The 12,072-nt window shown below is 46.6% G+C and overlaps 1 long non-coding RNA gene across 1 annotated transcript, besides 2 other annotated features; it reads right to left on the minus strand.

Annotated features, from left to right (window-relative positions):
* Positions 1-70: a silencer, noted in NCBI's record as "silent region_11303". NCBI's record gives its function as "represses an Ori minimal core promoter by ATAC-STARR-seq in GM12878 lymphoblastoid cells {active_cell/tissue: GM12878}" and the evidence as "EXISTENCE:reporter gene assay evidence [ECO:0000049][PMID:35858748]".
* On the minus strand, positions 1,891-11,837 carry LINC01460 (long intergenic non-protein coding RNA 1460). Its single transcript, NR_135200.1, has 2 exons — positions 11,689-11,837; positions 1,891-4,601 (listed from the first exon to the last, which is right to left on the minus strand). It is a non-coding gene; the product is annotated as a long intergenic non-protein coding RNA 1460 (long non-coding RNA).
* Positions 11,524-11,933: a silencer, noted in NCBI's record as "silent region_11304". NCBI's record gives its function as "represses an Ori minimal core promoter by ATAC-STARR-seq in GM12878 lymphoblastoid cells {active_cell/tissue: GM12878}" and the evidence as "EXISTENCE:reporter gene assay evidence [ECO:0000049][PMID:35858748]".

The raw sequence follows: 12,072 nt of genomic DNA on the forward strand, positions 1-12,072 counted from the left end.
CCCCGTCAGAAGTTAATGCAACCACGGCAGGGAGTGACCACAAGGGGGCAGTATAGACCCATTACAATGCGGTCAGCTTGCACAAGGGGCTGAAAGAAGATAAAGGTTTCAAAGCAGAAGAAAGAGTAAGAATCAGAAAAAAAGGAGGATTGTGAAAAAGTTAGGAGCAGCAAGCTAGTTTCGCTCACAGACATTCCTGGACCCAAGACCTGGCAGCAGAAAGTTAGCCAGAGACACCGGTCAGGCCCAAATGGTGCTCCCAACTCTCCTCCAAAACTGCCTTTTCCAGTGCTTAATTTCACTTAGAGAAAGTCGCTCTCCATTTATAATGCCAATATTCTATGGAGGACTTTGGGCATTGCATATTTATTCCTTACACACTATATTTCAGCTTTACAGTTTACAGAGGATTTTTTTCACACTTGTTAAAAAAAAAAATCCGAATCCCCTATTAGACTTAAAAGGTAAAAACAGATGTTAATTACCTCTGTTTAAAGAAACTGAGGCACTGGGCAGGGTGGCTAACACCTGTAATCCCAGCATTTTGGGAGGCTGGGGCAGGTGGATCGCCTGAGGTCAGGAGTTCGAGACCAGCCTGGCCAATATGGTGAAACCCCGTCTCTACAAAAAATACAAAAATTAGCCAGGCATGGTGACCCCTGCCTGTAGTCCCAGCTACTCAGGCTGAAGCAGGAGAATCACTTGAACCCAGGAAGTGGAGGTTGCAGTGAGCCCAGATTGCATCATTGCACTCCAGCCTGGGCATTGCAGCGAAACTCCATCTCAAAAAACAAAAACAAAAACAAAAAAAACCTGAGGCTAGACACATGAAGTGACTTGCTCAAAGGCACACCGAGTTTGTGGTGGAACTACATCTAGATGTGAGTTTCTTTCATTTCTGTTCCTTTGCTTAGTCCTTCTAGTTTTCAATTGTTTATGTCTGTAAGCTTAGTGAGTTTTTAAGAGCAAGGACTATATCTGATTCATCTTTATATCCCTGAATGGTGCCCCTTAATCTTTAGGGCTATGGCTGGGTGTGTTGTATAACACCTTCTCCAGAGTTAGAGTCCATGATCTATCTCTTATCCTCCATGATTCAATAATTTTGTGATTTTGAGGCACGGCCCTAACAAAGACAGTGGTGGCTATGAGTGATCCTACTGGCTGAGCATTTCAACAAGGGCAGCCACTTGGCTGCATCCTTCGTAATACAGAGAGGTTGTGAGACAGTTTTCCAAAGTATACACGAGTGTCCCTGGTGTCACGAGAGTCGACTTTAGGGGATGAGGATGAAAATGTTTAATTTTAGTAGCTACACATATAAATACATATAAACAGTATAAATGTAATATGTCACATTACATATACATATTAAAATATATATGTACATTTTAATATATATGTACACATATATACACACATATGTATTGCAGCTTAGAATGAAGTTAACTTTTTTATGTCAACAGATTTTAGGGTACAGGTAAGTATTTGGTTACATGGGTAAATTTTTTTTTTTAAGAGAGATGGGGTCTCAATATATTGCCCAAGCTGGCCTTGAACTCCTGGGCTTGAGAACCACCCACCTTAGCCTCCCAAAGTGCTGGGATTACAGGTGTGAGCCACCACACCCGTCACATGGGTAAGTTCTTTAGTGGTGATTTCTAAAGAGATTTTAGTGTACCCATCACCTGAGCAGTGTACACTGTACCCAATACTTAGTCTTTTATCCTTCACCATCCTCCCAACCTTCCCCAGCCGAGTCCCCAAAGTCCACTATATAAATCATGCCTTTGCGTCCTCATGGCTTAGCTCCTACTTATAAGTGAGAACATACAATGTTTCGTTTTCCATTCCTGAGTTACTTAACTTAGAATAATGGGCAGAATGAGGTTAACTTTTAAATTGTGTTTATTTAAGAAAAATATTATGTAAATAATAGTATGGTGGTATGCCACAAGGCAGAAAGCCTGAAACAGATATACCAATGACAAGTTCAAGGAACTGTGGTGAGGTGGGAAAATGTAACAAAACTCATTAGTCACAAACCTCACTTCAAGTCTGGCTCTGTCACACTTAAGTCATGTAACCCTGATTAAACTGCTGACCTTAAATGAGGCTGTTTCCTCATCTGTGAAGTTGAAAAAGAACTCCTACCCTCCTAAACTCACATTAAAATATGTAGAAACATGCTGAAGCCCGGAACACACCGTGCAAATAGCCCGTGGGGCTGATATCCCAATTTCCTCTTTTACCAAGGTCTATCCAGGGCTTCCTCTTCACCACCCCAGGAAGTGCCTCACAACTAGCCCCTATTTCCCAGGATCCCAAGGACCAAGTTCTATTCAGTTTGTTGTCCACACCTGGGTCTGCCATTCTGAGGGTGGGGAGGTGGGAGGGGCTGGAGAAATCCTGGAATCAGTCTGGGAACAAGTCCCAACACATGTCACTGTTTGCTTTGTCATCCTGATTCAATGACCTCATACAAGGAAGGGAGGGAGCAGAAGGAGCTGTTCCCTTCCAGATACCTAAGGAGGCTTCTGACATCTACTGTTTTCCTTGGCACGAGAAGGGCAGGAGCTGGGCTGTGATTTTTAAGGTCTGAGCTAATCTTGGAAGTGGTGAACAGCACCTCCCACAGCTGGCCAGACTGCTGCTTGGGGAACTGCCTTGAGCAAAGGGGCAGAGGGAGTTGGAATGGGCATCAGAACCCAGGCTGCTGCCCCTGCTCCTTGAAAGGGCTTCAGAACACACTGCCCTATCCATCCCCAGGATCTCACCAATCTTAGTACTAAGAATGCTAAGAATGGGCATGTCGCCCAGTTAGGGAGAAAAAGCCTGAAGCTAGGACAGCTCCTTTTTTTTTTTTTGAGAAAGAGTCTCGCTCTGTTGCCCAGGATTGAGTGCAGTGGAGTGATTTTGGCTCACTGCAATCTCCACCTCCTGGTTCAAGGGATTCTCATGCCTCAGCCTCCCGAGTAGCTGGGATTACAGGCGCCCGCCACCATGCCTGGCTAATTTTTGTATTTTTAGTAGAGACAGGGTTTCACCATGTTGGCCAGACTGGTCTTAAACTCCTGACCTCAGGTGATCTGCTTGCCTTGGCCTCCCAAAGTGCTGGGATTACAGGTGTGAGCCACTGTATCTGGCCTAGGACAGCTCTTGAATGGATTCTTAGCCTGGCCCCTCATGGGACATTCAACTGGGGTTGACAGAAGCTTCATTGACCCCAGGGTCAGAGAGTGTAATCGTCCTCACGGACTTATACATATAATGCATACTTTTTGAGCACCTACTATGTACCAGGCCTTTTGGGGAAATGAGCCAGCCATGTTGTATCAAAAGGCTAGATAGGACCTTAGAGTCACCTTTTTACCACCAGGAGTCCTTGTGTCATCCTTATCCCACTCCCTCTACCATCCTGGACATAATTAACGTTTAAATAAATTATTTTTGTTGGCCAAAAAAATTGAATTTAGCAAGTATTCATTTACAAGTTTTTGGTAATCACATATTTACATATCTGCAAATAAATTATGATCAAATAACACAAGATAATAGCTAACATTAGTACACTGAGTTAATATCCAGTCAAAAAAAAGCAAAGAAATTCAGCATTTTAGCTATCCTGTTTATTCTGGTTGGGCTTTTTTAAATTTAAAAAGTAGCTGGCCGACTACGTGGGGAATCAGTTCAAGGTTTTAGAAGTGGTGACGTAACCGCTGGGTTTTGAAGGAGAAGAGTTCACAAGCAGATAGAGAGGATGTTGCAGGCAGAGGAGGCAGAATGGTCCAGGTGCTAGTCCTGACACCACCATCCCCAGGTTGATCAGTTGAATCAGGCTGTAGCTTGAACTCAATGGGTAGGAGCCAGAGTTTGGAATGGAACTAATGATGGTGGAGGTGAGAATCAGAAAGTGTATGGTTGAATGTTCTAGTCTTTCCATATCATAGTACTGGAGAAATCGAGGCAGGAAATCCCACTGAAATCCTTTTGGTTCCCAAGGCAGGAGAATAAAAAAACACAGCAAAGGATAAGCCAAAATTCTGCCCCAGAACTGGCCTGGAACCTGTCTCCCACCCTGGCTGCCCCGCCCTTCAGCTCCAAGAGCAAACCATTTATTTTCTATGATTTTTAAAAATTGGCTCATCTCATAAATGTTCCAGAGTCGGAACAAGCTGTGCCATGGCGAAACAAAAACTGCTGAACAAATAAACAAGGCAGGCTGTGAGGCTGGGGAAAGTGCTAGATGTGGGCCCCCAACCAGGTCCATGGGTTTTGGCAAGTCTGTTGAGTCTGGGCCTCTGTTTCTTCCTCTCTAATCGGAGGGGTGGGAGAATGGGATTTTTGGGGTCCCTTCCAGTTCTGTGATCTAAACAAGTTGCACAGAGAGGGGAAGAATGTAGAGCTGCCAGTTCAGAAGCCTCCTTCCCTTCCACTGCATGGTGAGGCTAAGAGCTGGGAGCGGAGTACATCTCCTCGTAGGCAAACATTGAAACCAGACATCAGCCATTTGCTTGTTCACTCATCTGACACTGAGTATCCAGTGCTGGGTGCTCTGCTGCCCCTTCCGTCAAGGAACACACACGGAATTATGAGGTGGTCTAGCAAAGGAGAGAAGGGACGGACAGTTCCTTGCATACACCGAGCCCTTGCCCACCCCGGGGCCTTTGTTCCTGCTGTTCCACCACCTACATTGTCAGCCTCTCCCTCCTTCTTGTTCTTCAGGGTCAGCTTAAATGTTATTTCCTTGGAAGGCTTTCCCTGACCACCCTGTATAGGGCAGGGCCGCCCCCCACCCCCATCTCTCCCCATCTCTACCGCCACACTCCATTCCCCTCACAGAATTTATACTGTTTGGAATTATGCCTGCCTGCTTATTTAGTCATTTATTTTCCATCTTCTGACTAGAAGATAAGCTACGTGAGAGTAAGAATTCTGTTGGTATTTATCACTTCTGGGCAATTGGCAGCATATACTTGGAGAGTATGTGAATAATTTTTTGGCAGGTGCCAGGGTTTTTACATAGACTACCTCATTTAAGTCTCCTTAACATCCCTAAGAGAGAGACACTGTATTATTATCTTCCTTTTAGGGTGAGGAGACAGAAGCCTGGGGATGAAATATCTTACAGTTGGGAGCCTGGATTTGAACCTGTGTCTAAGTCAGGGCTCTTTCTACTTCGCCATGGTGTGGGGGCAGAGGACGCCAGGCTCTGGGCATGGCGCTTTGGCTCTGTTTTTCTTTTTTACTTTTTACTTTGAAATAATGTTAATTTACTGAAAAACTGCAAGTCTGGCGCATAGAACTCCTTCACTCAGGTTCACCAAATGTTAAACTTTGCTACATTTTAATATTCTCTCTGAGTGTGTACATACCTGTTTATACTTATTTTCTTTTGTTGAACCTTTTGAGAGTAAGTTGCAGACACTATTCCTTTTACCCTTAAATACTTTCCCAAGAACACAGACATTCTATTACATAATCAGGGAATTTAACATAGATATAATAGTTATTTTATTTTATTTTTAGAGACAGGGTCTTGCTTTGTCACCCAGGCAGGAGTGTAGCAGTGTGATCATAGCTCACTGTGGCCTCAAACTCCTCCTGGGCAATCAAGCAATTCTCCTGCCTCAGCCTGCCGAGTAGCTGGAACTGTAGGTGCACACCACCGTGCCTGGCTAATTTAAAAAATTTTTTTTGTGGAGACAGGGTCATGCTTTATTGCCCAGGCTGGTCTCAAACTCCTGGCTTCAAGCAATCCACCCACCTTGACCTCCCAAAGTGCTGGGATTACAAGACTGAACTCTGTTTAAAACTATTTTTTAATATGTACTCAATATTAAACTTTATTGAATTCTCCAAATAATGTCCTTAATAGAGATTTGTTTCTCGCCCAGAATCCAATCCAGATCATACATTCCACATAGTCACTGTGTTTCTTTAATTTTTAATTTAGAAGAGTTCCTCAGCCTTTCTTTGTCTTTCATGATATTGATATTTTTCAAGAGTATAGGCCAGTTGTTTTATAGAATGCCCTTCAATTTGGGCTAGTCTGATGTGTGCTGATAATTAGACCCAGGTTAAGCATTTGCTGGCAGGAATCTCACAGAAGTGATGCCGGGGCCTCAGTACATCATATCAGGAGCCACGTGATGTCTGTTTGTCCCAGGCCTGGTGATGTTAACTTTGATCTCATGTTTAAGGAGATACTTGCCAAGTTTCTCCACTGAAAAGTTATTATTTTTTCCTTTTGTAATTAATAAGTAATTGGGGGAGAGGGTAAATATTTAAGCCTATGACTATCTTGTCCATATCAAACTTGCATCCTTTGATGATTCTTGACTGGATCAATTATTACTATGACAGTTGCAAAATAGAGTTTTTGTTTTGTTTTGTTTTTATAGAGAGAGAGGACCTCACTCTGTTGCTCGGGCTGGAGTGGCGCGATCATAGCTCACTGTAACCTCAAAACTCCTGGGCCCAAATGATCCTCCCGCCTCATCCTCCCAAAGCGCTGGGATTATAAGTGTAAGCCACCACACCTGGCCCTAAATCAAGATCTTGGTTCTGATTTTCAGGCTGGTATCTCTATTCCAAGATGATAGGGTGGAATGGAAGGGTGGATGGAGCAGGAGATCTAATTATGCACAATTTGTTTCTCAAATGGCTATTGAGGTGGAAGGTGACTGCTATTGACTTTCTGACCTTACTTACTAAGTAAAAATCTGGAGAATCAGATGGGATTTTACATGATAAAAGGTATTAATTCCTAATGGAATGATTTCCATTTACCTACCCAGCACTTACTAAATCTCAAACATCACATCAGCCATTTAGCGCACATGATTTTACTCAGTCCTCATAACAACTCTATGAGAGCGTATTGTCTCCAATTTATAGATGAGGAAACTAAGACTCAGAAAGGTTAAGGCACGCGCCTAAAGTCACACAGCTGGGAAGTGTAAGACTCAATTCAAATCAAGATCTGCTGGGTTCCAAAGCGCTTTCACTGTTTTCAGTGGGAAGGAGCTCTGGGTGGCAGTCAGCCTTGATGCACATTCCAGGCAATGCCAGTTTTCAACTATTCATCAGCTTAGAAATGAGGTATGCTCCAAAAGTGGATGTTAAACCTGGGTGTCCGAGTCTTGCAAAAGGCTGGTGAGGTCCTCAGTATAGTTATCTATGGCACCAGCCAGGTGGTCCTTAACTTATAGATAACTCTGCTATGTGAGCAGCGCCCTGGCTGGGAGATCCTCTTGGGTCACCCTGCTGTTGACTCCTTCAGCTCAGGTGGCAGAGCCATCCCCAGACATTGACTCATCAGATCCCCTTGCCCAGTATTGCTACATCTCCTGTGCTTAGAAAGGCAGGAAACTGAACTCTGGTATTTTAGAAAGCCTCTCAACAATAACCTTGATTAAAAGGGGATTTTCCAGTTAACGCTGGAGAATTTCAGTTAACCAAAGAGTTATTGTATTCTAGTTCTCTGAAATGTAGTAATCCACATACAGTGTGTATTTATGGTAATTCTCATTCACCAGAAAATTCAATTAAACAGGATTTCCCCACCATTTAGAATAAGCCACAGAACCACAGAATTACCAAGTTAAAAAAAAAAAGGCCTTGGGGATCATTTAATGGGATCCTTCATTGTACAGATGAGGAAACTGAGGTCCCAGAGAAAGGATATAACTTATTGAAGATTATTTAGCTCATTACTGGTATAACCAGAACTAGAAACTCCCAATCCAAACTGCTTTCTGCCACCTAAGAATTATTACAAAGCAGGAAATCTTTATATCCAGGGTTACCTGCAGGCTGAACTTAGCCTGCAGCAGTATTTTGTTTGGTTTGCACAGTATTTTAGAAGTTGAGAAATTTAATCTAAAATCCAAATTTGGTATTTATTTAAAAAAAAAATTGGAAACTCTGAACACACCGGGCCTGATATCCATAAAGGGGGCCTAAGTAGTAACAACTGCTCTAGACTGGGGACCTGGGGTCTAGACGCCACGTCCTGCCACTCCCTATCATTGTGCACCTGCCTTGCCTCACCCATGTCATGACCTGCCTGGCCCCTGCAGGCATTGGAATTTGGGCTCTCTGCTTCTGGGTGAAGGGCACTCCTCGGTTAATTTAAAAGAGCTCAAGTGAGCCAGATTGAAAAATAGTGGAGACCATGAGGAATCAGAAGCACTTGTGTTAAGTGCCAGGTTGTAGCACCGGGGTCCCAGCTGGCCCTGAGCAAGCTCAGATCAGGGGCTGGGAAAGACCTCTAGGAGCTTCTCATTTGGGTAAAAAATGTGAAAAGTTAAATAACCATAGGAGGCATGTCACTTGGCAAGATTGGAGGAATTGGCAGAGTGAATGGAACAGGCAAGATGTGCTAACGCTGCTCAAAGGGTCTATGTTCAAAGGAAGTCTCTAATGGAGGTGGGTCTTGGTTCAGATGTCAACCCATTTTAGAGGATGGAGAGACTATGGGCAGAGAAAACAGCCACGAAGCTACTGGGAACGTTGGAGCTGAGGGCTAGCAATAGATGACTACAGATGGGAAAAGGAAGGAAGAGTTGGATACCAGAGCAAGACCCCAAGGGAGGCATGCACAGGGTTTGGTGCCTACATGCAGGTAGAAGAGGAAAGGAGAAGAGTCAAAGTTGATGAAAGCTTTGTGCCTGGGTGAGAATGGTCATGTACCAAACAGAAAAGGGAAACCAGCTGGGAAAGCTGCTTTGTGGGAAGATGAGGAACTCATTTTTAGATATGTTGAGTTTGAGATGACAACAGGGCTTAAGTTTAGAGTTGTCCAATGGGCAGCTGAAATTGGGACTGGGAGTCAAGAGGTCAGAGCTGGTAACCTAGAGGAGACAACTGGAACCACCAAAAGCAATGAGGTCCCTCTCCCAGAGGCAGAAGGCCAGGAATAGGGAACTGAGGGCAGCATGATAAACACTGGATAATAGGCACCCTTGAAAAAAAAAAACTCAGGGCTGGGCATGATGGCTCACACGTGTAATCCCAGCACTTTGGGAGGCCAAGGCGGGCAGATCACTTGAGGTCAGGAGTTCGAGACCAGCCTGGCTAACATGGCAAAACCCCGTCTCTACTAAAAATACAAAAATTAGCCGGGAGTGGTTGTGTATGCTTGTAATCCCAGCTACTTGGGAGGCTGAGGGGCAGGAGAATCACTTGAACATGGGAGGTGGAGGCTGCAGTGAGCTGTGCCACTGCTCTTCAGCCTGGGAGACAGAGCAGGACTCCATCTTACAAAAAAAAAAAAAAAAAAAAAAAGCTCAGGAAAGGAAGAGGAGCCAGCACTAGAGAAGGAGCAATCAGAGGGGCAGGAAGAGAACCAAGCTGGAGTAAAACTGCAGACATCTCCCAAGGCAGGCAGAAGGCATTAGGACAGTAACCAGAGGGCACGCCAGAGAAAATAGAAGCTCTAATAAAGACGGAGGAAGGCGAATTTGCAGGTGGTAGGGACGGAGTCCGTGGGGTGGATGAGACTGTGGAACCCTTTTTAACACCTGTGGGAAAAGGGGCTGTGGACTGAAGACCAGGCTGGCCTCCAAGGCTGACTCCCAAGCTAGCTGCTCTGCATTTGCCTAGGGATGGGCTCTTGACTGCTCACTCATTATTCTGGAGATAGGATGGCTCATCTCACATCACTTCCTTATTTTGGACTCAGTTTACCCATCTTTATTTTTTATTTATTTATTTTTTTGAGATAAGTCTCGCTGTGTCACCCAGGCTGGACTGCAGTTGTGCCATCTTGGCTCACTGCAACCTCCATCTCCTGGCTTCAAGCAATTCTCGTGTCTCAGCCTCCTGAGTAGCTGGTATTACAGGCATGTTCCATCACGCCTGGCTAATTTTTGTATTTTTAGTAGAGACGGGGTTTCACCATGTTGGCCAGGCTGTTCTCGAACTCCTGACCTCAAGTGATCCACCCGCCTTGGCCTCCCAAAGTGCTGGGATTACAGGCGTGAGCCACTGTGCCCAGTCATAGTTTACCCATCTTTAGTTTAAAAAATGACCACAGGCCGGGCACGGTGGCTCACGCCTGTAATCCCAGCACTTTGGGAGGCCGAGGTGGGTGGATCACAAAGTCAGGAGATCGAGACCATCCTGGCTAACACAGTGAAACCCCGTTTTTCTACTAAAAATACAAAAATTAGCCAGGCGTGGTGGCGGGCGCTTGTAGTCCCAGCTACTCCAAAGCCTGAGGCAGGAGAATGGCATGGACCCGGGAGGCGGAGCTTGCAGTGAGCCGGGATCAAGCCACTGCCCTCCAGCCTGGGCAACAGAGTGAGACTTCGGTCTCAAAATAAATAAATAAATAAACAAAATAAATATAAATAAATAAATAAATAAAAACGACCACAAAACTTTATTGGATGCTGCCCACCATGAGGGGCAACAGACAAGTGTGAGTTACTCAAAAAAAGTAAACTAGGCCTTCTCCTTTGACAGGGAGGTGCATTTGAAAGGTGCCTCCCTGTGCACTGACTCACTTAGTCTTGTGAGGGAAGCTTTATTACAATTCCCCATTGCACAGATGAAGTTGGGGCTCAGGGAGGCCAAGGGAATGAAACTACTAAGTATGTAATTGGAACCCAAGTCTCCTGGAATCCAAATGCAGTGTCCTTTCGCTACCAGATGCCAGCAGGACCCAGGTAATGAACTAGGCCAGAGACCTGAAGAGCAGGCCAGCTACCAATGTGACCTCTATCTGCCCACTTGGGGGTGAGATCCTTACCCATACAAAGACAGTTTTAAAATTGATTAAATGTAATGAGGCCGGGGCTGGGGCAGGCTGGCTCACGCCTGTAATCCCAGCACTTTGGGAGGCTGAGGAGGGCGGATAGCTTGAGGTCAGGAGTTTTGAGACCAGCCTGGCCAATATGGTGAAATCCCATCTGTACCAAAAATGTAAAAATTAGCTGGGTGTGTTGGCGCAGGCCTGTAGTCCCAGCCACTCGGGAGGCTGAGGCAGGAGAATCGCTTGAACCCGGGAGGCGGAGGTTGCAGTGAGCGGAGATTGCGCCACTGCACTCCAGACTGGACGACAGAGCAAGACTCTGTCTCAAAAAACAACAAACAAACAAACAAAAGTAAAGAGGCCGATAGAGGGAGAGGAGACCGAGACGTAGGGAGCAGTGAGTCGGTTTGGGATGAGACTGGCAGGAGCAGGCAGATACAGTATTCGACCTCGGAGCTGGGCTTTTAGCCTGGGGTCCTGGCGCCCCTAGAGTGTCAGGAGGTGAGGGCCTGAAGCTACAGGCAGAATCCCAGTGTCTGTGTGGGCCGTGGGCTTGCTCTGGACACTCTGGGGACAGGATGCAAGGCCGTCATCAGATTCTCAAAGGGGCCCGTGTCCAGAAAAAAAACGTGTTAAACCTCCGATATGGAAGCATCTGCAGTCCCCTGCCCGGACCGGGGACACCATGGTGCAATGTATCCCTGTCCCCGTCACTTTTTCTAAATCTTTGCCTAGAAATCCCTCGTGCTGGACTCTTTCACCCTGCACGGGGGAGAAGCCCTCCTCCCGGGAGCCTGTTTGGGGGGCAGGCCTGGCCGAGTGGCTCCGTGAAGACGCAGGCGCGGCCGGAGGGCGCGGGGCTCGGGCAGGATCGCGCCGCCGGGCCGGGAGGGGGCTGCGGGCGCGCGGCGGATGTCACGGCTTACCTCAGAGCCCAAATTAGAAGGCTGAAAAAATCACAGCAGGAAATAATGTGCTGCCTAAAATAGAAGCATCAACTGGGAGAGAGGCCGGGGAGTAGGTGGCATCTGAGGCTCCCGCCGCGTCCTCCCCAGCGGCTGCCTGACGCTGCATCGGAGGCGCGTGGGTGGCGCCCGGCCAGAGGGGCCCAGAGGCCGGGGCGGCCCGGGGCGGGAGGAGGCGAGAGCAGGGCACCCTCCCTCCGCCCCCTCCCCCCTCCCCACACCCCTTCCCTCTTCCTCTCTTTCCCTCCCCTACGGCCCCCACCTCCCCCCACCCCGACCCGCTCCCCCGACACCTGGGCTGGTCCTCCCGGATCCACTCCTCTCCCACACTCCCTCACCTCCCCC

The sequence above is a fragment of the Homo sapiens genome, chromosome 2, assembly GCF_000001405.40.
Source record: "Homo sapiens chromosome 2, GRCh38.p14 Primary Assembly".
NCBI lineage: Eukaryota > Metazoa > Chordata > Mammalia > Primates > Hominidae > Homo > Homo sapiens.